The following is a 24,456-nucleotide window of genomic DNA, read 5'->3' on the forward strand; positions in this document are numbered from 1 at the left end:
CTACTCGGGAGGTTGCAAAGATTGCTTGAGCTTGGGAGGCAGAGGTTGAAGTAAGCAGAGATGGTGGCATCACACTCTAGCCTGGGCAACAGAGCCAGACTGTGTCTCAAAAAAAAAAAAAAAAGTGAAAAGAAAAGAAATGAACCAGTTTAAGCAAGAATAGAGAGGACTGAGGTGAAGAGAAGGCCCTGGGGTCAGAAGTTGAAATATGTTAGGAAATAAAGTGATGTTTCTGGAAAGAACGACTCGGGGCGAGAGTTGTGTGATGAGATCGGAGCTGTAGACAAGAGGTCTCAGGTCATGTGGGACTTTATAGATCATAGTAACAATTTTGTTTTTGAAAAGTTGTAGGAAAATGAGAGCAATGATTAAATTTATATTAGAAATATTTTAGTTGCCACGGGACAGTAGATACAGAAGACAAGTAGGGGGGCTATTAACTATTAAGGGAGTCCAGTTGGGAAATCATGGTGACATAGACCAGAAGGGTGGCAGTGAAGGTAGAGAAAAGACAGTTTTGAGAGAAGCCTAGCTAGAAGGAACAACTGGACTGTTCATGGATTGGATGTGAAGCAGTAAGGCTTATCTGCAAGATGTCTCCTGAGTTTCCATCATGATCAACTGGGAGGATGGGAAAGGGATGCTATTTTGAGATGGGCCCCACTGGAGCAGATCTCAAGACTGAGGCTCCTGTGCTGTGCCGTGCTCTGGGGAGTTGCCGAGGCAGCCTTTGACAAATGGTTCTCAAGCCCTAGAGCCTGGAGATACAAGATTGGCAGATAGATGGAAATTGTAGTCACAGTGAAACAGGAGAGTTCCCTGATCCCCCTTGCAGAATGTGTGACAGGGGTGTGGCTCACCTGTTTGGTCGTCATCGTTGCCCAAACCCCTGAGGGGAAGGAGAGCATGTAGATGGACAGGTGCAGGAGCCCAAGTGGGCATGTGTTACAGTGGGCTCCTTTAGCCCTGCTGTCCGTGGTTAGTGTTAACCAGCTCAGTGGGCCCTCTGCCTTTTCACAAGGGCAGAGGGCCAGTGTGACAGCTTTCTGTATCCCAAATTCTTGCCTAGCATCCCCGGAAGAATTGGGTCACACATGAGATTGAAGGAGGAATTCGGGGTTTTATTGGGTGTTGGAGGTGGCTCTCAGCAGGATGGATGGGGAGCTGGAAGGGGAGATGGAGTGGGAAGATGATCTTCCTCTGGAGCCTGGCTGTCCAGCAGCTGAACCCCTCTCCAACTGCCCCCAGCCGAACTCCTCTTGGCATTCAGATGTTCCTCCTTTTCTCTCTTTCTCTGCCATGTTCTTCCATCTGTCTGCTTGTCTCCTCATCTCGTCTGCCTCTGCACCCTGGGGTTCGGGGTTTATATTGGTACAGGATAGAAGGCACGGCTGGCCAAAAGGCAACTTTTTGGGTGTGAAAACAGGAATGCCTGTCCTCATGTAGGGCTGCAGGCCTCCAGGCTTGAGGGTGGGGCCTTTGCTGGGGAACCGCCCTTTTACCCAATGTTTCCCTGTTTCCTGTCTGTAACAATACGGGATGTGGAATCAGCTAGGGAGAGAATGCAGAAAGAAGAGGAAATGGGCATGGGGAGAGCCCTGGAAAGCCAGTAGTTAAAGGCTGTAGAAGATTAGGAGGCTGGAATGGGGTTGAGAAGTTGACCAGAAAGGAAGAAAACTAGGAGAATTGTCTGCAGTGATTGAGAAACCCAGACAAGAGTGTTTCAAGAAGAAGGGAGAGAGAGGTTAACAGGGTTGTTGAAAACCACTAAGAGGTCACTTGACAGGAATGCTGAAAACTGTCCAGTGGATTTAGTGAAATGGAGGCCATTGGTGACGTTGAGAACTGTTTTGGTGAAGTGGAGGCAAAAGTCATATTGGACTGGACTGAGGCATGAATGGGAAGTCAGGAATCGGAGAAGCCAAGCACAAACAATTTTAGGGGTGGGGGAAATGTGTGGCTGTGAAAAGAAAGCTAGAAGGGAATTCGAAATGTAGAGATTACAAATATTCTTACTTTCATTAATGGAAAGATTAGATCATGCTCAAATGGCAATACGACGGATCTAAGAGGGTGGGGAGGTTAACGGTGCAGGAGAGAGGTAGTAACTGATGACATTATTTAAGGCTGCTGAGAAGGACAAGACATGGGGTCCAGGATACTCCCTGATGACAGGAGGGTACGGGACTCAATGGAGATGCAGTTGTTGATTTCGGGGGAGTTGAGGATGGATGGCTTGGATAGTCCCAGCAAAGTGGGAATCCATGTTTTAGGTTAGGAGTGAGGATCATGATAGGGAGGGTTGGAAGGGGGGGGTTGGGATGAACAGTAAGCTATGGGGCTCCAGCAAAACAAGGCTCTAGGTGGATTTCAGTTGAACAAATAATTCTTGTTGGTGAGTAATAAAGCCTTGGAAATAGCCCCAGGCCATATGTTAGCTCAGTCAAAGCTGTAGTCAGGGGCTGGGAGCCTCTTCCAAGTACAACATTTTCTCTCTCGGCAGAAGGGAGAGGGGTCTTCTCAGATTGTCTTTGAAAGCCCAGGAGGCTTCCTCACTGTGTCTGGGCTTCAGAAGACTAGACCCTCAGTTGTGTGCCGTCAACGTTCCTGCTCCAGGGGTACTCGGCACCCTCGGGTGCTCTGCAGCCACAAATAGTCAAGTGCAGAAAAGAACCGGATGCTGGCCTGGGAGAATTCGGCCTGGGAGAATCACGGTTTGATGAGGCCGGGGAGGCCGCCTTTAGCTAACAGGTCCACTGCACCCCAGCCATCTCCAAAAGCCACATTTTGAGAAGAGCAGAGTTGATGTGGGGAGGATGTCAAGGTGGCAGAAAAGTCACCAAAGCCACATTCTGAGACCAATTCAGGGGAACGTCTGTGAGCTGAGGATAGCTGTGAGATGCTTTGCTCCTGAAGGCGTTTTCCAGGTCAGCTGTGGGGTGGTGGGCATGATGATGTCTAGTCCAGCTCCAGAACTTAATTGCTGGACACACATAGAAGAATCACTCAGCCTCTGTGATCTTGCAATTTGCATCTACAAACTGGGAATTATCATCCCTGCCCTCCTTAACTGACATATATTTAAAACCAAGCTAAGAAGGCTGAACAGGTGGGGGTGCTAATAATAAGATACGAATGGTTCTCTTTCCAGAATATCAGTGCTGATGGGGCCTTATCAAACCTTGGTCTTTTCCCAAGTTACTGGAGGCAGACCTGGGATTCCAACAAGGTTTTCTTTCATGTGGCTAAAGCTTATCTTACTGCAGTTACAAATGTATTCTGAGCAAAGCTGTGATCACAGCCATTTTGTTTTTCATTGTTTTAATTCCCAGCTCGAATCTTTCAGAGCACACCAGCCTCAGTGCCCTGCACATAGTAGGGCCTTGAGAAAACTTTTTGGCATAGCTGAGCATCAGGGCTCAGGAAGCCAGTTGAGGGTGTGCATGTGGCAGTTTATCACTTTGAGACTCAGAGGGTTAATCCCAGCCTGGCTCCCCTTTGGCTTTGACCTAAAGACCTTCATCCCTAAATCCCTCTGAAACAAAGGCTTGGACCCAGGTCCTGGGCAGGGCAAAAGGAGCATAGGGAAGCTGCAGGCAGCTACAGCTGGTTTTATTTTATTTTATTTTTTTCCCCCAAGACGGAGTCTCGCTCTGTCACCCAGGCTGGAGTACAATGGTGCGATCTCAGCTCACTGCAAGCTCCGCCTCCTGGGTTCACACCATTCTCCTGCCTCAGCCTCCCAAATAGCTAGGACTACAGGCACCTGCCACCATGCCCAGCTAATTTTTGTATTTTTAGTACAGATGGGGTTTCACCGTGTTAGCCAGGATGGTCTCGATCTCCTGACCTTGTGATCTGCCTGCCTCAGCCTCCCAAAGTGCTGGGATTACAGGCACAGGCGTGAGCCACTGTGCCCGGCCTACAGCTGGTTTGTTAATGACCAGTCCCATTCCACTGCCTCTGTATACCCAGGGATGTTTGGGTGGGGATGCCGAGACAACTGGCTTGGGGAAGTTAAGGGCAGGCAAGTGGACTTAGCATGCAACGGTGTGGGAATGTGGTTGCTCATGCTCTGTTTCCTTCTGCAAACAAAGTGTTGACATTATGAATGATGAAAAGAGAAGACAGCTGAAGGGACTCACAGGGGCATGTTCCAGAGCCTCTGAGTGGGAGAGTATGACTTCATTTAACATCAGCTGTCAATTTATATTCTGTCACAGCCAATGGATTCCCACTCAGAATGGGGGCTGCAAACTCCCAAGTGTGAGATGTTGTTGGAAATGTACTGGGCCAGGAGGGTGGCCTCTTGGAGAGGGTAATCCTCCCAGCTCCAGGGCCTTCCCCAGTCCCTGGGAGCTCCAGGCTGCCATAGAGGCTCTTGCTGTTTCTGCAGGGATAAAGGTCTTCTGTGCTTTCCTTGTCTTTAGTGGTGAATGTGGCTAAAAGCAGCGACATCTGTGTTCCTTCTGTGGGATGCAAACTAGATGGATATATTAATAAAGCCTGGGTTGGAAAGAGGCCAGAGTGGGTGGGGTAGGGTCAAAAAGGGTGGTCAGTTCTGGGGCTGAGCCAGGTTCCTGTGCTCAGAATAGTAGAGTGGGAGGAAGTTCGGTACAAGAGTGTGAGTGAAGTGTGTGTGTGGTGGTCTGAGACAGGTAAGACAAAGGACCTTGAAAATAGGGTGCTGAGTGGGTGGGGAGCAGGTGTAACAATACCAGAAGTGCCTAAGGCTTCCCAGGAGGTGGAACAAATAGGTGTTTCCAGGTGAGAGCTGTGGGACCCTGACACAGCTGTCTAGGGAATTGTGGTTTTCTTAGACTGTGGCTTCTGCTCACCAGCATCCCAGAATAAAAACCTAAAGAACCAATCACTGTGTTCAGCTGACAGCTCTACCCTGAGCTGCCCTCACTTTCCTCCAGGCCAGGCTCTGCTGCCTTTTCAGGCTGTTAATTCCCAGCAGAGGCAGGTGGGTTTGTCTGTCTGGATTGGATGAAGTGTGAGGTCAGCCTCCCAATGCCTCTCCCCACATTGGTGTGTTTCTCTGAGCTCCCATGTTCTCAGCCTCTTAGACAGTGAGTGAGGCTGGGAAAAGCTGCTTGAGTTTGAATCTTACCTCAGCTGTTTTTAGCCAGCCTTCCTTGAACTATGGCTCCTGCATCTGAAAAACAGGATGATGTTACCAATATAGCTATTGTGGAGATGAAATCAGAGATAATGCTTCATAATTTTTAAATTCTTTTTAAATTTTTATTTTAGAGACGGGGTCTTGATCTTTGACCCAGGATGGAGTGCAGTGGTGTGATTATAGCTCACTGTAGCCCTAAACTCCTGGGTTCAAGTGATCCTCCCCACTTGGCCTCCAGAGTAGCTGGGACTACAGGTGTGCATCACCATTCCCGGTTAATTTATAAAATTATTTGTAGAGATGGTGATACGGTTTGGCTCTGTGTTCCCACCTAAATCTCATGTTGAACTGTAATCCCCATGTGTTGAAGGAGGGGCCTGGTGGGAGGTGACCGAATCATGGGGGCGGACTTCCTTTTTGCTGCTCTCCTGATAGTTCTCACGAGACCTGGTTGTTTGAAAGTGTGTTGCACCTCCCACTTTGGGCTGTCTCTCCTGCTCTGGCCACGTAAATATTGTGCCTGCCTTTCCTTCACCTTCTGCTATGATTGCAAGTTTCCTAAGGTCTCTCCAGCCATGCCTCCTAGATAACTTGTAGAACTGTGAGTTGATTAAACCTCTTTTCTTTGTAAGCTACCCAGTCTCAGGTAGTTCTCTATAGCAGCATGAGAACAGACTAATAAAGACAGAGTCTTACTGTGTTACCTAGGCTGATATCAACTCCTGGGCTCTAGCGATCCTCCTGTCTTGGCCTCCCAAAGCTCTGAGCCTACAGGCATGTGCCACCAGGCCCAGCTAATTTTTTTTTTGAGACGGAGTCTTGCACTGTTGCCCAGGCTGGAGTGCAGTGGCACCATTTCGGCTCACTGTGACCTCTGCTTCCCAGGTTCAAGTGATAGTCCTGCGTCAGCCTCCCAAGTACCTGGGATTACAGGCTCCTGCCACCAAGCCTGGCTAATTTTTTGTATTTTTAGTAGAGATGGGGTTTCACTATGTTGGCCAGGCTGGTCTTGAACATGTGACCTTGTGATCTGCCTGCCTCGGCCTCCCAAAGTGCTGGGTTTATAGGTGTGAGCCACGGTGTCTGGCCACCCAGATAATTTTTAAAAATTTCTGTAGTGGCAGAGTCTTGATATGTTACCCAGGCTGGAGTGCAGTGGTGCAGTCATAACTCACTGCAGCCTCAAACTCTTGCACTCAGGTGATCCTCCCACCTTGGCCTCCTGAGTAGCTGGGACTACAGGCATGAGCCATCATGTGCAGCTCCATAATTTTTAAAAATTAGGCCTTTGTGAGGGTTAATTGAGACTAATGCACAAGGACTCTTCCAAAATAGTAAAGGTGAGGGAAATGCTTAATCTAGATTGAGAGGGTTGGACTCCATAACCTCTAGGACACCTTCCAGCTCTTGGAGTCTAAGGGTCTCCCTGGCTTCTGTTTCTATACCTTCTGCTTGGTACCTTTTTCTTTCCCAGATGTCCTCATCTCCCACCTTTAGGTCATTCCCACCTGCCACTCAGCTTCAATCCAAGCTGAGCCACCACATGAAAGACCTTTGAAGGGAAAATCAACTGTTTATCAAATTAGCTGAATTCTCAAAGCCTGGCTACTACACAAGGAATCAGATGCTAATTAATGAAGAGCCAACACAGCTCCATTGCCGATTTGCATAAATATGCATTGTCAAACTGTTAGGTAAACAAAAGCTGGATAACTGCCACAGAGCCAGAGTGATTATGCCGGGCCTTCCTAGTGAGCCTTTGCAATAGGGATTACGGCCTCCACGATTTTTTTTTAAAGTCATCCTTTTATGTTTCTTTTTCCATGCCCTCCCTCCTCACTCTGCTTAAGGTTCAGCTCTCTTTCCATTATCAGCTACCAAACATAACACGATGCAAACCAAGGCAGGGTGGCCCTCCAGTGAGCAAGATGACTTTCTTCTGCCACTTCACATTGCCTGGGTCTCTTGCATCTGGTTTAGAGACAGAGGGAGAGAGACTAGTATGAGGTTGTCCCTGCCTCCACCCTCATCTCGAATGAAGATACAAGAAGCTTGGGGGTCTAGCCATAAAACTTGTCTGATGCATGTTTTTAATCCTTGCTAGTTACAGCTAATTGGAGCTGTCAATCATTTAAAACCCTGAAACTGACTCAGAGAGGTCAGGTGATTCAAACTTACCCAACTGTACAGATAATAATTAGATGTATTGAAGTTAGTAAGTATGAAGAAAGGGGGAAGCTCTCACTTGCCTGTGCATAAGGAATCTCGGAAGATGTAGCTGTGCTGAAGCCAGACTTGTCCTAGAGAAGAAGTGAGATCTGGCGGCCTCAACCCTCCTCAGTCTCTTAGAGTCAGCAGTGGCAGCACGGATGGTACCTGTCAGTTCATTTCAGAAAATATTTATGGAGTGTCTGTGCTGTGCTGGGTGCTGTAGGAATCAGGGTTCTGGCCTTGAAGGAGATGCCTGTTTCACTGGGGAGACAAATACAACCAAATATGTAACTGAAGCTGGGTGAAGACCTAACTACTCTGTGGTAGGGCTCACGTTTGCAGCCCCTAGAGTATCTCTCAGCTAATTTATTGATGAAAGGGTCCTATTAATGAAGTGAATCTATCTTTGGGGAGGAATTTTCCATTTGGGGTGGATGTTTTCTGGTTTATCTGTCTTCCTGTCGCAGCATGAAGTCAGGCAGGTCTGTGTTCATGTGCTCACCTGGGATGACTCTTCTGGCTCCTGAAAAATAAGGATGCTGATTGCCTCCTCACGGAATCCCAGTGGACCAAGCCAGGAAAGAAGCCGAGCAGGGCTTCTGGGGAAGAAAGTCCGGGGCCTTGCAAAAGAGGGCAGTTGCCTCTGGGCCAGTTTGCAGAGTAGAGGTTGCCCATGTGCTGAGTCTTGAGCTACCATATAGGAGTCCTCATGCCTCCAAATACCTACCAGTATCTACCAGACTCATCTCATGGGTCTGAGATGCTGAAATCTCTACTCAGGTGGGGAAGGAATGGGAGTTTACCTATGGTGAATGTCTATTCTACTGAGCAATTTGTATCTGTTGTTACCTTTATTTCTTATAAAATCATGTAATTCAGGTACTAATGTACACACTTTATAGCTGAAGAACTGGAATTCACAGAGCATAAATGACTTGTCCAAGGCATCACTGCAAATGTCCGAGTCAGGATGTACACTCAGCTTGGTATGAATCCAGAACTCAGCTCTTGCTCCACTTGTGCCCTACTCCTTGCTGTTGTCTTTGTTTACTGTAGACCCCTACCCTGTCAATAATAATAGTAATGGTAACTCTGACCCCAACTTTCATTGCTGAATTGGGTAGCAATTAATCCACTGGACAGACATGGCTCCAGGTGGAAATGGCAAAATTCTGAAGCCCACTTCCACAAGGCTGAGAAGCAGTGGCCTCATGGTTCAACCAGCCGGCTAGGAAATCTGCAGACCTGAAGGCACACACCACAGAACTTCACCCACCTGCATGTGGACCCATCTGGCCGGCGGTAGAAAGCCCACTGTGAGGTATCATAGGGGAGTTCGGGGTGGCAGAGGGTTTGCTTCAGAGACCTAAAAGTAGATAGTGGTCTAAGAAAATGGGTTGGACTATGGGTGTTTCTGTGGCTTCAGAAGCCACAATGCACAGCTTATGTGCAGTGGCTAGAGGAAGTTCAAGCACATTCTCTTCCCCAGGAGGTCCTCTGCTCCAGAAGTGAAACGGCTCTACAGAGGAATTTGAGTCCCCCTTTACAATCCCCGCTGACAGGATCCATAAGCCCCAACAAACATGTATACAGGAAGGAAAAATCAATGTAGTAAAAGAGAAAGGAGAGAACTTAAAGGAATTTGCCAGTCTTCATGCGGCCCATGTCAATGCCCGGCCCATTAGTCATCAGTGTGAAGACCCAGGAAGCCACAGGAAAGGATGTGGAAAAGAAGTCATTAAAAAACGTTTAAAACTTTTGGCTAGGAATGGCGGCTCATGCCTGTAACTCCAGCACTTTGGGAGGCTGAGGTGGGTGGATCACTTGAGGCCAGGAGTTTGAAACCAGACTGGACAGCATGGTGAAACCCCATCTCTACTAATAATATAAAAGTTAGCTGGGCATGGTGGTGCGTGCCTTAATCCTAGCTACTTAGGAGGCTGAGGCAGGAGAATCACTTGAAACCGGGAGGCGGAGGTTGCAGTGAACCAAGATTGCAGCACTGCACTCCAGCCTGGGGTACAGAGCGAGATTCCATCTCAAAAAAATAAAAGGTTTAGAACTTTTAATAAAACAGAGTAAAGTTTCTAACATTTACATGTGCAAATACACACATAACACACACACAAGCCCAAAGCCAGTATCTCCATTTGGACATTGAAGAAAGGAAGTCTTAGAGGGAAACTGCGCACAATCTTGCTGAGGACTGACAGCATGGGTGGGGAAGGCATATTTAAAATATCTGAGAGTAGGAAAAATATGGAGAAAAAACCTTCAGCTCCCATAGGCCCTCAAAAATGCAGGTCCAACAGGGAACGTGGTACCGAAAACAGGGTTTTGAGTGAAGGAGTCTCTTCACTCAGAGTTTAGTCTTTTTGCTGGTGGCAAAGCAGAAAAAGAACAAATTTCATAAGTTGTCAGCTGGAAAACGTGTTGGGCAGGGTGGCCACATGGGCTCTAAGAGTCTGGGTTTCCTTCCTTATTGGACCTTTGACTTTAGAGTCCCTTGGCTTCTCAGAGCCTTTGTCATGTCATCTGTGATGGCATGTGTGGAGTGTCTGCCTGGTTCATTCACTTCTGTTCCCTTTTGGAAACTGGCTGTAAGCACCTCCAGCCAGGATGGGCCGAGATACCCCTGTATGAGAAGAACCCCAAAGTAGAAGACCCTGAGTTAGCAGAGACTGGAGCTTAGGCTCAGAGATGTATTCCTGGCCATGTCCAGCCTCTGCTTGCTGTGTTGAAAGAAGTTTGTTCTATGCAGACTCTGATGGGACCTAACAAGTCTCAGGGAACCAGGGACAGAGGTCATGATTCAAGGGAGGGTATTTTTGGGCTGACATCTGGTTTTTCCCTGCTACCCCCATAGACTAGAGCCAAATGGCCTCTAGCCCAGCCCAGAGCCCTCTTGGCAGCTTGGCCAACTACTAGTACCAGCAACTGGTCCCCAAGAGCTGAGCTCCTTCTGTTCTGGACAAAGGTGACACAATCTCCAGAAGCTGTCACTCAGAAGCAGATATGAGAGATCAAAGAGGAGGCCTGAGGAGAGGCTTCAGGGCTTGTTAGATTCAGCCTCCTAAAAGTTCAATGAAGTCAAGGGCAGTATGGAGGACCAAAGTCTTCATAAGCTTGTGCTTTGCCAACAGCACTGGGCCACAGCATGCCTCCTTTGTGGTTTCTGTGTACCTTGACAGAGTCGGGGATGGCCAAGGTTAAGGGTATAGGTCTGGCTAGATACTATTTGAACTAGGTACACGTAAAGCATCATCCTAAGACAAAACAACAGTGTGTGCAAGCATGTTTAGAATGTTAATTCCCTGAGTTCCCCCAGAGTTGCAAATCCGTCATCTCTCTTCAGTGGAAAAGAAGTCTGATATATTGGCAATTTTTCCCCAACAGCTTATACCAGTCCCTCTTTTTTCTTCCTTCATGCAGTGTTTATAGTCAGAGCCTCACAGTCCAGTTCTTGGTCACTCTCCATCTTGTATTCTTTGCACTTTATTTTTCATGCCAGCAAGGTTTTACTTTCCCAACGAGACAGTTCCCTGAAGGTATATTCCATGGCTGGCAATAATGTAGTGCTTGGCACTAGAGCGTTCCACACTTTTCAAAGCCTTTTCCTGCCTTCCATGAATTCAGCCATGGCAGGATAAGCATGGCTGTGCCCACGTGACAGACATGGACACCGATGCATGGGAGGTGGAGTTACTTGATTGGGTACATGCTGCTCTTTGGAACCAAAAATGAGACTTCATGTTATTGAGTGAATGTCTGCTACCCACTGGCCCCGATCAGGACTTTATGTTCATTTCCTAGCACTATTACCTATAAACAGAAAAGACTTAATCAAGAATCACTTGATTATTTAGCTTTTAAAGTATTTTCCTATGTTTAATTTTTCAAAACCTCAGTGTGGCCAATTAATGACTACAAATATGTGACCCCTTCTTACATCAATAAATAGGGTCTAATTCCTATCCTCTTGAATCTGGGCTAGACTCAGTGGTTTTCCATAACCAATATAACATGGTGGAATTGATGTGGATCTTTCGAGACTAAGTCAGAAAAGGTCATAGTGTTTCCACTTTGCTTGTTGGAACACTTGCTCTTGGAACATTGAGTCGCCATGTGAAAAGTCGGATTACTTTGAGGTTGCCATGCCAGAGAGGCCAAGATCAGTGTTTCACTAAGGTCAGCAGTCCTAGCTAAGCCCAGTTTTTGAGTCATCCTTGCCAAGGTGCTAGGTATGTGAGTGAAGCCACATTGGGACCCCCAGATCAGACCATCCACCAATAAGTGGCCATCATTTGTGGTACATGAGACAGAAAACTCACCCAGATGAACTCAACATGAACTCATGTCTTGGGGTAATTTGTTACATAATAGTAGATGACCCAGAAAATTCTTCAGTCTTCCCCGGAGCCCACTGAGAACAACGTATCGATGGCTGAATAGAAACTGGGCTTACGAAGGCTCACATCCTGCTTAACTCCATATGTTAGATTCCTGCAGTATTATTTTAGCTTTCCTCACCTTTTGCTGGAGGAAATTGTGTGGACGTACTGAATTCTCCCAGAGAATTAGCTTGTTTTTAGAAACATGCTTACAATTATGAGTTGTGCAATTGGCTGTGAGAGTGTCCACATAAAATTATTGATTTTTGAGCACGTCCATGTTTTCAACTCTGGGTTTAGTCATATATATCATTCAGGTTCCAACTTGGGTGCTTTTTCTGCCATGAGATCTGTCTTTCATTTTTTTTGCTCCTACTCTGAAGAGAGGTCTCTCTTCTATGCTCTCAGGCCAATATGTCTACATGTCTACGTTTTTATGACTCTGATTATATTTCGCCTTTTCCTTGGCTCTTTTCTCTTCTTTTTTTTTTTTTTTTTTTTTTGAGATGGAGTCTTACTCTGTTACCCAGGCTGGAGTGTGTAGTGGTGCAATCTAGGCTTACTGCAACCTCTACTTCCTGGGTTCAAGCCATTCTCCCACTTCAGCCTCCCGAGTAGCTGGGATTACAGGTGCTTGCCACTAAGCCCAGCTGATTTTTTTGTGTTACTAGTAGAGAAGGGGTTTCACCATGTTGGTTCCTGGCTGGTCTTGAACTCCTGATCTAGTGATTCGCCTGCCTCGGCCTCCCAAAGTGCTGGGATTGCAGGTGTGAGCCACCGCTCCCAGCCCCGTGGCTCTTTTTAAACCTAAGTGTCCCTTGTGATGCTCAAGGTCCTTAAGTCAGTTGACCTTTGCTTTTTGATCTTATTTTCTTACGGCCCTTACTTATTGCTTATTGTGTAAGAGATACTGCTATGTGTTCATATGCCTTTTTCCTTCTAGCACGTGGAAAGACCTTATGCTCTGCCCTTAGAACTACGAGATTGATGCCTTTTCAAAGGTATATAAGCAGAAGTGATGTATGTCTCTTTCAGGTCAGCACTTAGATGCCCTCCACTATTCCTCTGCCTGCCACTTCAGCTTTGGAAGCTAATGTGTCCCAGATGGCATAAACTACATGACAGAGAAGGGTGGTCTGATTCACATTAAGCTTGATATGAGTGAGGAATAAGCCTTTATTTTGTTAATGCACTGAGAGTTTGAGGATTTGTAACTGCAGAATAGCTTATTGTATTTTGACTAATAAAATGATACAACAACATTTATAATAATAGCTATAGCTCATATTTGCTGAGTGTCTCTCATGAGTCAACTGTTAAGTGTTTTATATATTTAATATCTTAAAATACTTCCAACAACTGTATATACCAAGCAGTATTAGTCAGATTCTCATTTCATAGTTGGAGATATTTATACATAGGATGATGACAATAATTATTAGTAATTGGCTGAGCTAGGACTTGAACCCACGTCTGTCTGACTCCAGAGCAATTTTTCTAGTCTACTCTATAGACTCTGTTCCTATGTCTGTAAATTTCAAGTGGTTTTGAACTGGGCCTTGTCAGAGCAAGAGCTCTAGATGGGTGTTTTCGGTTTTTGTATGATTCAAATTAAAGTAAGAGGTTAAGGTCTGTTTTTAAGGAACTTACTATAAAGTTGTTTCTTTTAAACCTTCCATTTATATAATTTCTGGGTTATCTTCTGAATACTGAAATCAGTCTCTTTAGATGTTAAGAGGGCTCAAAACTACAAAGTTCACCTTTCCTCCCTCGTCAGCCCTACTCTGATGCAGCCACGAGATAGTGGAGGAGTTTCTCCCTTGAATTCTGAGCCCCAGAACCACAGATTAAACAAAACACATTTGTGGGGTACTGTGATCTGAACATCTGTGTCCTCCTAAATTTATATGTCGAAATGCTATTACCCAAGACGATGCTATTAGGAGATGGGGCCTTTAGAGGTGATTAGGGTGCAGGGGCAGAGCCCTCCTGAATAGGATTAGTGCCCTTATAAAACAGGCCCCACAGAAACCCCTCACCCTGTCCACCACATGAGCACGCAGCAAGAGGGAACCATCTAAGAGGAAGCAGGTCTTCACTAGACACTGAATCTACGGCACATTGATCTTGGACTTCCAGCCTCCAGGACTGTAAGAAATAAATTTCTGTTATTTTTGAGCCACCCTGTGGCATTTGTTGTATCACCTGAACACACTAAAATTGCGGTGCTTGGGGGCTTTCAGCCAAATTTAAACCTAGTCTTTTTTCCTGCTTGTGCCACAGATTCCCTGGCAGCCTCCCCGTTCAGGAATGGTTTTGGGTTCCAAGGCAATAGCATGGCAGTTGTTTTCCGGATGAAATAAGAAGTTGCATTCAGATTTCTCTCCTACTAAGGGGCATTTGTCTTGAGACTGCCCCATTGATGGAACCTTGGGAGGGGTTTGCGTGAATCCCGCTGGCAGCCAGAGCCAAGTGTATTGCAGCAAGGTCTGTGGCGCGTAGTTTATGGTAGCAATTACTGAGCCAGATTCTTATGTAGTCATGATACCTTCAATTACGGGCAAAGCTGGGGAGGTCAACATAATAAGTGTTTGCATTTTCAGGGCCCTGGAAATCCATAAAGATCACTGGAGTCTATTATTTCACTCCTACTCTGCCTTCTTGGCCTTCTTCTCTGATTTAAAACATTCTTAGCACAGGGTATAAAATTAAACACACAGCATCAGCAAAACTAGCCCAACAGAATAAAAGGGGGAAAAAAAGAACCCTTGAAGATATACTGTAATTGTGAAAGGCAGGGCCTGCCACTCTTGCTCTTGAACAAAATTTGCAGGTCTAGTTGTAGATTTCTAAAAAATATACAAATGTTTAAATGTTGAAATACCCTCAAGCATACAGAAAACTTGCAAATACAATAAAAATAACTTATTTTAATTGAACCATTTAAGAGAAGTTGCTGACTTAATGCCCCATCACCCCTAAATTCTTCAGTTGTATTTCCTACATGCAAGGACATTATTCTAAACAACCACAAAACAACTATCAAAACAGGAAGGTGACATCGGTACCTGATTACCATTTAATCCTCAGACCCCATTCACATTTCTGCAGTTGCTCAGTTACGTCTTTCAGCAGGATGATCCAATCCAGAATCATGCATTGCATTTATACATGTCTCTTTCTATCTAGAAGGGTTCCTCTGTCTTTCTTGGACTTTGATGACCTTCACTTTTTGAACACAGTTCAGGTGTCTTGCTAATGTCCTCCATTTTATTTACCTTTTTTAATTTCAGTACGTTTTCTGGGGCAGACAGGTGGTTTTTGGTTACGTAAATAAGTTCTTTAGTGGTGATTTCTGAGATTTTGGTGCACCTATCACCTTAGCAGTGTACATTGTACCCAATATGTAGTCTTTTATCCCTCACCCCCCCACACACCCTTCGCTCAAATCCCCAAAGTCCATTATGTCATTCTTACACCTTTGCACCCTCATGGCTTAGCTCCCACTTATAAATGAGAACGTGTGATATTTGATTTTCCAATCCTGAGTTACTTCATTTAGAATAATGGCCCTCCAGCTCCATTCAAATTGCTGCAAAGGCCATTATTTTGTGTTTTATGGTGAGTAGTAGTCTACGGTGTATATATACCACATTTTCTTTATACACTCATGGGTTGATGGGCATTTAGGTTGGTTCCGTATTTTTGCTATTGCGAATTGTGCTGCTATAAATGTGCATGTGCAAGTGTCTTTTTCATATAATGACTTCTTTTCTTTGGATAGATACCCAGTAGTGAGGTTGCTGGATAGAAAGGTAGCTCTACTTTCAGTTCTTTACAGAATCTCCACACTGTTTTCCATAGCAGTTGTACTAGTTTACATTCCCACTACCAGTGTAAAAGTGTTCCCTTTTCACCACATCCAGACCAACATCTATTACTTTGTGACTTTTTAATTATGGAGAATGTCCTTTATTTTGGGTTTCTGTAATGTTTTCTCAAGATTAGATTCAGAAGTGTGCTAGAAATGAAACTGCCATCCTCTTATTGAATCTTTTTTTAAATTTTATTTTTAGTTTTTATTATACTTAAAGTTCTGGGATACATGTGCAGTGTGTGTAGGTTTGTTACATAGGTATACACCTGTCATGGTGGTTTGCTGCACCCATCAACCCATCCTCTACATGAGGTATTTCTCCTAATGTTATCCCTCCCCTAGCCCGTGGGGTTGGGATCTGCTGAGCTAGACCACTTGGCTCCCTGGCTTCAGGCCCCTTTCCAAGGGAGTGAACGGCTCTGTGTTGCTGGTGTTCCAGGCACCACTGGGATATGAAAAAATACTCCTGCGGCTAGCTGGCTCTCTGCCCAAATGGCCACCCAGTTTTATGCTTGAAACCCAGGGCCCTAGTGGCGTAGGCACCAGAGGGAATCTCCTGGTCTGCGGGTTTTGAAGACCATGGGAAAAGCCTAGTATCTGGGCTGGATAGCACCGTCCCTCACGGCACAATCCCTCATGGCTTCCCTTGGCTAGGGGAGGGATTTCCCCAAACCCTTGCACATCCTGGGTGAGGCAATGCCCCCCACCCTGCTTCAGCTCATCCTCTGTGGGCTGCACCCACTGTGTAACCAGTCCCAATGAGATGAGCCAGGTACCTCGTTGGGGAATGCAGAAATCACCCACCTTCTGCATTGATCTCGCTGGGAGCTGCAGACCGGAGCTGTTCCTATTCAGTCATCTTGCCAGCCACCTCCTTATTGCATCTTATGTGACACATGGTTTTGATTGTTCTCATCTTTCTTAATCATTTTATTAAGATGATGCCTTCTAGGCATCTTGAAAGTTACTTTTCCCATTTGTGATTAATAAATATTTGATGAGGAGTTACTTAAATAATCTCTAAATACCCTGTTCCTCATCAAACATTTTATTCATTTATTTTGATGCTCCCACTGGCCAAAACTAGGACCAATTGAGCATCAAAATAAATGATGAAAGTCACAGGTTACAAGTCATTGAGTAAAATAGAAAGGACAATCCCATGTTGATATAAGGTGGCTTGTGTGTTCTTGTGCTATGCCACCATCCTTTTTGTAGCTCCTTAGTTTATGATACAACCAGATATTCCAGATTTGTCTTGTATTTTTTTTTCACCTTAGCCCTGGAGTCAGCCATTTCTCCATGGAACCATGGTGGTTGTGGGTTTTTTTTTTTTTTTTTTTTTTTTTGTGCAAAATAGTATACAGAAGTCCAGGAAGGGCCACTAGACGTGCTCACTGCTTTGGGGTTGACACTGACTCCCAGACCTCCCAGTGGATGAAGCAAGGGATACACACACACACACACACACACACACACACACACACACACCTACTACCCCACTATGTCTATATTAATGTCTGTATCTACAAATACTAAAAGTGGAGACTTCACAGTGATACCTCTAATTTCAAATCAATACTACAGAGTTTATTCTATTTTCTTCTCCTTTCCATGTTGTAACTCGCTTCTTTTTCCAGTGAGGAACTTGATTTCTATTACCCTTGATATATTTGCTTACATGTTCATTCATCCTGTGTATGATCAATCTCCCGTCAATGCTGCTGTCTCCTCCCCCAACCTGGTAAGTGCCCAGTTGTCACTGTTTAAGCTCCAATATCTCGTCCTGGTTCACACCCTTTGCTGATGCCTCTTCAGCCTACTCAGATTTAACACCTTGCCTTTGATTGTCCCAACACAGACCATGTAGGCCAGCCCTTAGCCTGGACTTCCTCCTCATTCTTCTTGGGCTCTGAGACCCACACTGGCTCACCTCCATGTTGGACTTTGATTTTTCTTAAACAGCTCATACCCAGAAACTTCACACTGGGCTGATCCCTTCACCTTGCTTGGTTCTACTTTAGGACTGCAGTGTTTGAGAAGGTGAAGGAAAATGGAACGGCAATCCCAAGGCTGAGATAATACAAGTTTACCTGGGTCTGTTGACTTTTTCTCCTCTCCCTCTCTGGAGGGGGTGGTGATGAGGAAGTTGAGGACTGTACCTAATGATAGCAGGAATGCTCTGGGGCACAAGTGTTGCTGGGCCCAGGCAGAGTGAGCACGAGGCCTCCTTTATATGGCCCTGTACCTCTTTCCTCATTTGGTCTTCTCCATTAGAGGGAAGAGGATCCCAATGACACTTACAAGTGGCTACTACGTAGCATGTGTTGTCTGAATCAGTTTGCATCTGCACTCAATGAGTCGGTATTATCCTTACAGTTTTTCAGATAAAGAAAAAGTTAGAAAACTTACATGGCTACTCATGTCCACCAAGGGACAGAACCAGGATTTGGACTTGGGGCTGTCTGTCTCCAACTCTGTTTATCTCCTTATCTCTTGTAATGGAGGAGACAGAGCACATCTTGGAAAGCCAGCCATACCAAAGTTGCTTAATCAATGTTAGTTAATATTAATGTGTTTGTGAAGAAAACATAAAATATGAGCTCTGGGGCTCTGGTGAGTTGAGACTTAAGCCTTCTGGCCAGGGAATATTCTGTTTTTCTTTCTGAGATGTTATGGTAGGCGTTTGGTTCAAGAAAAGCTAAGAAGTATTTTTTTGGACATCTTTGTGAGATTATGATCTTAAAAAGACTAAGAAAATAATATGTATTGGGCATTTACTAGGTGTCTGACTCCATTCTAAAACTTTATACCTATCAATTTATTTAATGGTCACTATAAGGTGAAGTGTACTATTTTCTTCTATTCATAGATAAGAACTTAAGGCACAGAGAGTTTAGGTAACATCCAAGGTTATTGTATTAGTCCATTCTCATGCTGCTAAGAAAGACATACACAAGATCGGGTAATTTAAAAAGGAAAGAGGTTTAATGGACTCACAGTTCCACATGGCTGGGGAGGCCTCACAATTGTGGCAGAAAATGAAGGAAGAGCAAAAAGACATCTTACGTGGCAGCAGGCAAGCAAGCTTGTGCAGGGGAACTCCCATTTATAAAACCATCAGATCTCATGAGACTTATTCACTACCACAAGAACAGTATCAGAGAAACTGCCCCCAGGATTCAATTATTTCCACCTGGCCCCGCCCTTGATATGTCGGGATTATTACAATTCAAGGTGAGAGGTGGGTGGGGACACAGACAAACCATATCAGTTACAGAACTGGAGAGAAGAAGAACCAGCATTTGAGTGCAGGCTGATTGGTACTTGGGTTCAGTTCTTGACTGAGTGGTAGGTTCTACTCACTCAGACTTCTGGGTTCTGGAATTTAGCTGAATGTGCTTTTTCATGAAAAGACACATCACAATTAAGCCGAGAGATATAAAAGCGCTTTGCAAGATGGAAAAATTATCCAATATTATGTTCATATTATAACTTATTGAGTTTTTGTTACATCAAGTGTTCCTTTTATCTGTTTTTGAGACAGGCATTAAAGTATTCAGAAATTGTTAAGTCAGAATGAGTGGGTCTGGGTATTTACTGAATGCCACGTGCCAGGCCTACTAATCAAAATCATGCCTTTAAAGAACTAGCCACCCAGTGAACCACCCAAGGGAACCAATATTACAATACCCTGTAGTAATTACTATGGCAGATGTAAGTGGAGGATGCTACAGGAGTAAAAAGGAAGGGCACAGAAAAGATTCTCAAAAGGGAGAATCTGGGGTCAGAGTCTTGGCAGGATGTCAGTTTCAGCCTTCATGGTTCAAGTGAGTGAACTTCTTAAAGGGACTTTTTACAGGGGCATGTTCGAGGTTAAAGAAGCCACAAAGAGACGTTGAGGCACCCAGAGTCTAGCAATCATGGGATGCTCTTAACACTTTGAGGCTGAAAGGTCAAGGAAAGGAAATGGTTTTACCAGAGCCCAGTAAGAACTAGAGCTACAAAGGAGGGGGTGGCAGCTAGGAGCATGGCCTCAAAGAGATGCAGCTTTCCCCAGATATAAAGGGCCAGGCAAAAAATATTCCAACCACTTTTTCATTCCATCTTCTCAACTCCTGTGGCTGTTTTCCAGCAGTAAAACCCAAATGAAAGTCAGCTGTCAAAAGGATCTAAGTAGGGCACTCTCCAGGGCTCAGCCATCCTGGCACAGAGCAGGAAAGAAGGTCAGAAAGTGGACATGGGGTGAGGACAAATGGAGAATAACCTGCATATCATAGGAGGCTTCCTGAAAAAGGTGGTTCTTTAATTAATGCTGAAGTATAGAGAAGAGTTTTCTAGGTAAACATGGAAGGGGAAGAAGACATGCCAGGCAGAGAGTCTATCCTGTTTAAAGGCATGATCCTGTTGGGAAACTATGATGTCTTCATGATGAATAGGGTGGGAAGGGTGAGAAAGATGCAGTGGTAGAATTACATTTTGCCCCAACCATATCTTCTTCTTACCACTCTTGTTTGTGTTTCAAACATATAAAATCATATTTGTTGGAAAGAAAAGAAAATCACATCTTTTTTTTAGCCAATTATTTTTCTTTTTTTTTTTTGAATTATACTTTTAAGTTCTGGGGTACATGTGCAGAACGTGCACATTTGTTACGTAGATATACATGTGCCATGGTGATTTGCTACACCCATCAACCCGTCACCTACATTAGGAATTTCTCCTAATGCTATCCCTCCCCGAGCCCCCAATCCGCTGACAGGCCCCACCGTGTGTTGTTCCCCACCCTGTGTCCATGCGTTCTCTTTGTTCAACTCCCACTTATGAGTGTGAACATGTGGTGTTTGGTTTTCTTTTCTTGTGATAGTTTGCTGAGAATCATGGTTTCCAGTTTCAACCATGTTCCTGCAAAGGACATGAACTCATCATTTCTTATGGATGCATAGTATTCCATGGTGTATATGTGCCATATTTTCTTTATCCAGTCTATCATTGATGGACTTCTCGGTTGGTTCCCAGTCTTTGCTATTGTAAACAGTACTGCAATAAACATACGTGTGCATATGTCTTTACAGTAGAATGATTTATAATCCTTTGGGTATATACCCAGTAATGGGTTTGCTGGGTCATATGGTATTTCTAGTTTTAGATCCTTGAGGAATGGCCACACTGTCTTCCACAATGGTTGAACTAATTTACACTCCCACCAACAGTGTAATAAGCGTTCCTATTTGTCCACATCCTCTCCAGCATCTGTTGTTTTCTGACTTTTTAATGAACGCCATTCTAACTGGCATGAGATGGTATCTCATTGCGGTTTTGATTTGCATTTCTCTAATGACCAGTGATGATGAGCATTTTTTCATATGTTTGTTGGCTGCATAAATGTCTTTTTTTGAGAAGTGTCTGTTCATATACTTTGCCCACTTTCTGATGGGGTTGTTTGTTTTTTCTTGTAAATTTAAGTTCTGTGTTGATTCTGGATATTAGCCTTTGTGAGATGGATAGATTGCAAAAATTGTCTCCCATTCTGTAGGTTGCCTGTTCACTCTGATGGTAGTTTCTTTTGCTGTGCATAATCTCTTTAGTTTAATCAGATCCCATTTATCAATTTTGGCTTTTGTTGCCGTTGCTTTTGGTGTTTCAGACATGAAGTCCTTGCCCATGCTTATGTCCTGAATGGTATTGCCTAGGTTTTCTTCTAGGGTTTTTATGGTTTTAGGTCTAACATTTAAGTCTTTAATCACCTTGAGTTGATTTTTGTATAAGGTGTGAGGAAGGGGTCCAGTTTCAGTTGTCTGCATACAGCTAGCTAGTTTTCCCAGCACCATTTATTAAATGGGGAATCTTTTCCCCATTGCTTGTGTGTGTCAGGTTTGTCAAAGATCAGATGGTTGTAGATGTGTGGTGTTATTTCTGAGGCCTCTGTTCTGTTCCATTGGTCTATATATCTGTTTTGGTACCAGTACTGTGCTGTTTTTCTTACTGTAGCCTTGTAGTATAGTTTTAAGTCAGGTAGAATGATGCCCCCAGCTTTGTTCTTTTTGCTTAGGATTGGCTTGGCTATGCGGGCTCTTTTTTGGTTCCATATGAAGTTTAAAGTAGTTTTTTCTAATTCTGTGAAGAAAGTCAATGGTAGCTTGATGGCAATGGCATTGAATCTATAATCTACTTTGGACAGTATGGCCATTTGCACGATATTGATTCTTCCTATCCATGTGCTTGGAATGCTTTTTCCATTTGTTTGTGTCCTCTCTTACTTCCTTGAGCAGTGGTTTGTAGTTCTCCTTGAAGAGGTCCATCACATCTCTTAGAAGTTGAATTCCTAGGTATTTTATTCTATTTGTAGCAATTGTGAATGGGAGTTCACTCATGATTTCTCTCTCTGTTTGTCTATTATTGGTGTATAGGAATGCTTGTGATTTTTGCACATTGATTTGGTATCCTGAGACTTTGCTGAAGTTGCTTATCAGCTTAGGGAGATTTTGGGCTGAGATGATGGGGTTTTCTAAATATACAGTCATCTCATCTGCCAACAGAGACAATTTGACTTCCTCTTTTCCTATTTGAATACCCTTTATTTTTTTCTCTTGCCTGATTGCCATGGCCAGAACTTCCAAAAGTATGTTGAATAGGAGTGGTGAGAGAGGGCATCTTTGTCTTGTGCCAGTTTTCAAAGGGAATGCTTCCAGTTTTTGCCCATTCAGTATGATAATGGCTGTGGGTTTGTCATAAATAGCTCTTATTATTTTTAGATACTTTCCATTGATACCTAGTTTATTGAGAGTTTTTAGCGTGAAGTGGTTTTGAATTTTGTTGAAGGCTTTTTCTGCATCTATTGAGATAATCATGTGGTTTTTATCATTGGTTCTGTTTATGTGATGGATTACGTTTATTGATTTGCATATGTTGAACCAGCCTTGCATCCCAGGGATGAAGCTGACTTGATTGTGGTGGATAAGCTTTTTGATGTGCTGCTGGATTCGGTTTGCTAGTATTTTACTGAAGATTTTTGCATCGATGTTTATCAGGGATATTGGTCTAACATTTTCATTTTTTGTTATGTCTCTGCCAGGTGTTGGTATCAGGATGATGCTGGCCTCATAAAATGAGTTAGGGAGAATTTCGTCTTTTTCAGTTCTTCGTAATAGTTTCAGAGGGAATGGTACCAGCTCCTCTTTGTACCTCTGGTAGAATTTGGCTGTGAATCTGTTTGGTCCTGGACTTTTATTTGGTTGGTAGGCTATTAATTACTGCTCCAATTTTGGAACTTGTTATTTGTCTATTCAGGGATTCGACTTCTGCCTGGTTTAGACTTGGGTGGGTGTATGTGTCAGGAATTTATCCATTTCTTCTAGGTTTTCTAGTTTATTTGCATAGAGGCGTTGATAGTATTCTCTGATGGTAGTATGTATTTATATGGGATCAGTGGTGATATCCCCTATATCATTTTTTATTGTGTCTATTTGATTCTTCTGTCTTTTCTTGATTAGTCTGGCTAGCGGTCTATCTATTTTGTTGATCTTTTCAAAAAACTACCTCCTGGATTCATTGATTTTTTTTTTTTCCAGGGTTTTCCATGTCTTTATTTCCTTCAGTTCTCCTCTGATCTTAGTTATTTCTTGTCTCGGTGCTCTACATGTTCAGAGAACTTCTCTAATGATGAACTATAGGAATGATCCCTGAAAGTATAGTCTTACATTATTAATATTATAGAAGGGATCTCAAAAGGATCAGCCCCGGATCAGTCTGGCAACTTTCTAAGCCATCCAAGATAGGTGGCATCTGGGTTCCACTTAGAGTTAAACATCTTGCTCAATTCTTTCTTTTACATCAAAATTTATATTCATCTTTCATAACTCACTGTCTTAGTCCACTTGGGCTGCTGTAACAAAGTACCATAGTCTTAGAACCAAGAGAAATTAATTTCTCACAGTGCTGATGGGTGGAAATCTGAGATCAAGGCCCTCGTAGACTCTGTGTCTGGTGAGGGTTTGCTCTCGACTTCGTAGGCAGCATTGTATTGCTGTGTCCTCACAGAGTGGAAGGGACAAGGCAGCTCTCTATGTCCTCCTTTATAAGGGCACTAGTCCCATTTATGAGGGATTTGCCTTCATGAACTAATCATCTCCCGAAAGCCCTACCTCCTAACACCATCACTTTTGGGGGCTAGGATTTTAGCCTATGAATTTTAGAAAGACACATTCGGACCATAGCACCCATCATCTTCTTCTACCAAGGCTTTTAATTTTATTTTTTAAGAGACAGGGTTTTACTCTGTCGCCCAGGCTGGAGTACAGTGGCGTGATCATAGCTCACTGCAGCTTTGAACTCCTGTGCTCAGGTGATCCTGTTGCCTCAGTCTCCGGAGCAGCCAGAAGTAAAGGCATGAACCACCATGCCCAGCTAATTTTTGTAGTTTTTACAGAGATAGGGTATCGTTATGTTGCCCAGGCTTGTATCAAAGTAATCCTCCCAGCTTGGCCTCCCAAAGCCTGGAATTTTAGGCATAAGCCACCGCACTCAGCCTCCTACCCAGGGTCTTAACCTTAAAATAGTTTTAATACAGTGTTGTGGAAGGCCAAGGTCTAGACTATTTTGAAGGGTTATTTTCAGCTTCAGGTTCTTTGGCTTTGGGACCACGTCTGTCCTAATGCCTTAGAATTCCTTTCCCTTGCTAATACCAAGCCTAGCCCTCTCATTCTGCTTTTATGTCAAGAACCAGCGTAGGCCATAACTAGGGCAGCCTGCACAGGGCCTGGAAAAGTAACAATGGCCTCCTGGCCATTTCCTTCCTTTCCACTCTACACACTCTTTATTCATGTGAAACTTACAATGCTGATTATCTT

General features: G+C 44.1%; 1 non-coding gene across 1 annotated transcript; it reads right to left on the reverse strand.

The window, feature by feature from the left end:
- Positions 1-23,207: 23,207 nt before the first annotated feature.
- Positions 23,208-23,305, reverse strand: SNORD3F (small nucleolar RNA, C/D box 3F). The gene has a single exon (NR_145737.1). It is a non-coding gene; the product is annotated as a small nucleolar RNA, C/D box 3F (small nucleolar RNA).
- Between the last annotated feature and the right edge of the window lie 1,151 nt (positions 23,306-24,456).

Source organism: Homo sapiens, chromosome 8, assembly GCF_000001405.40.
Source record: "Homo sapiens chromosome 8, GRCh38.p14 Primary Assembly".
In the NCBI taxonomy this organism is placed as follows: domain Eukaryota; kingdom Metazoa; phylum Chordata; class Mammalia; order Primates; family Hominidae; genus Homo; species Homo sapiens.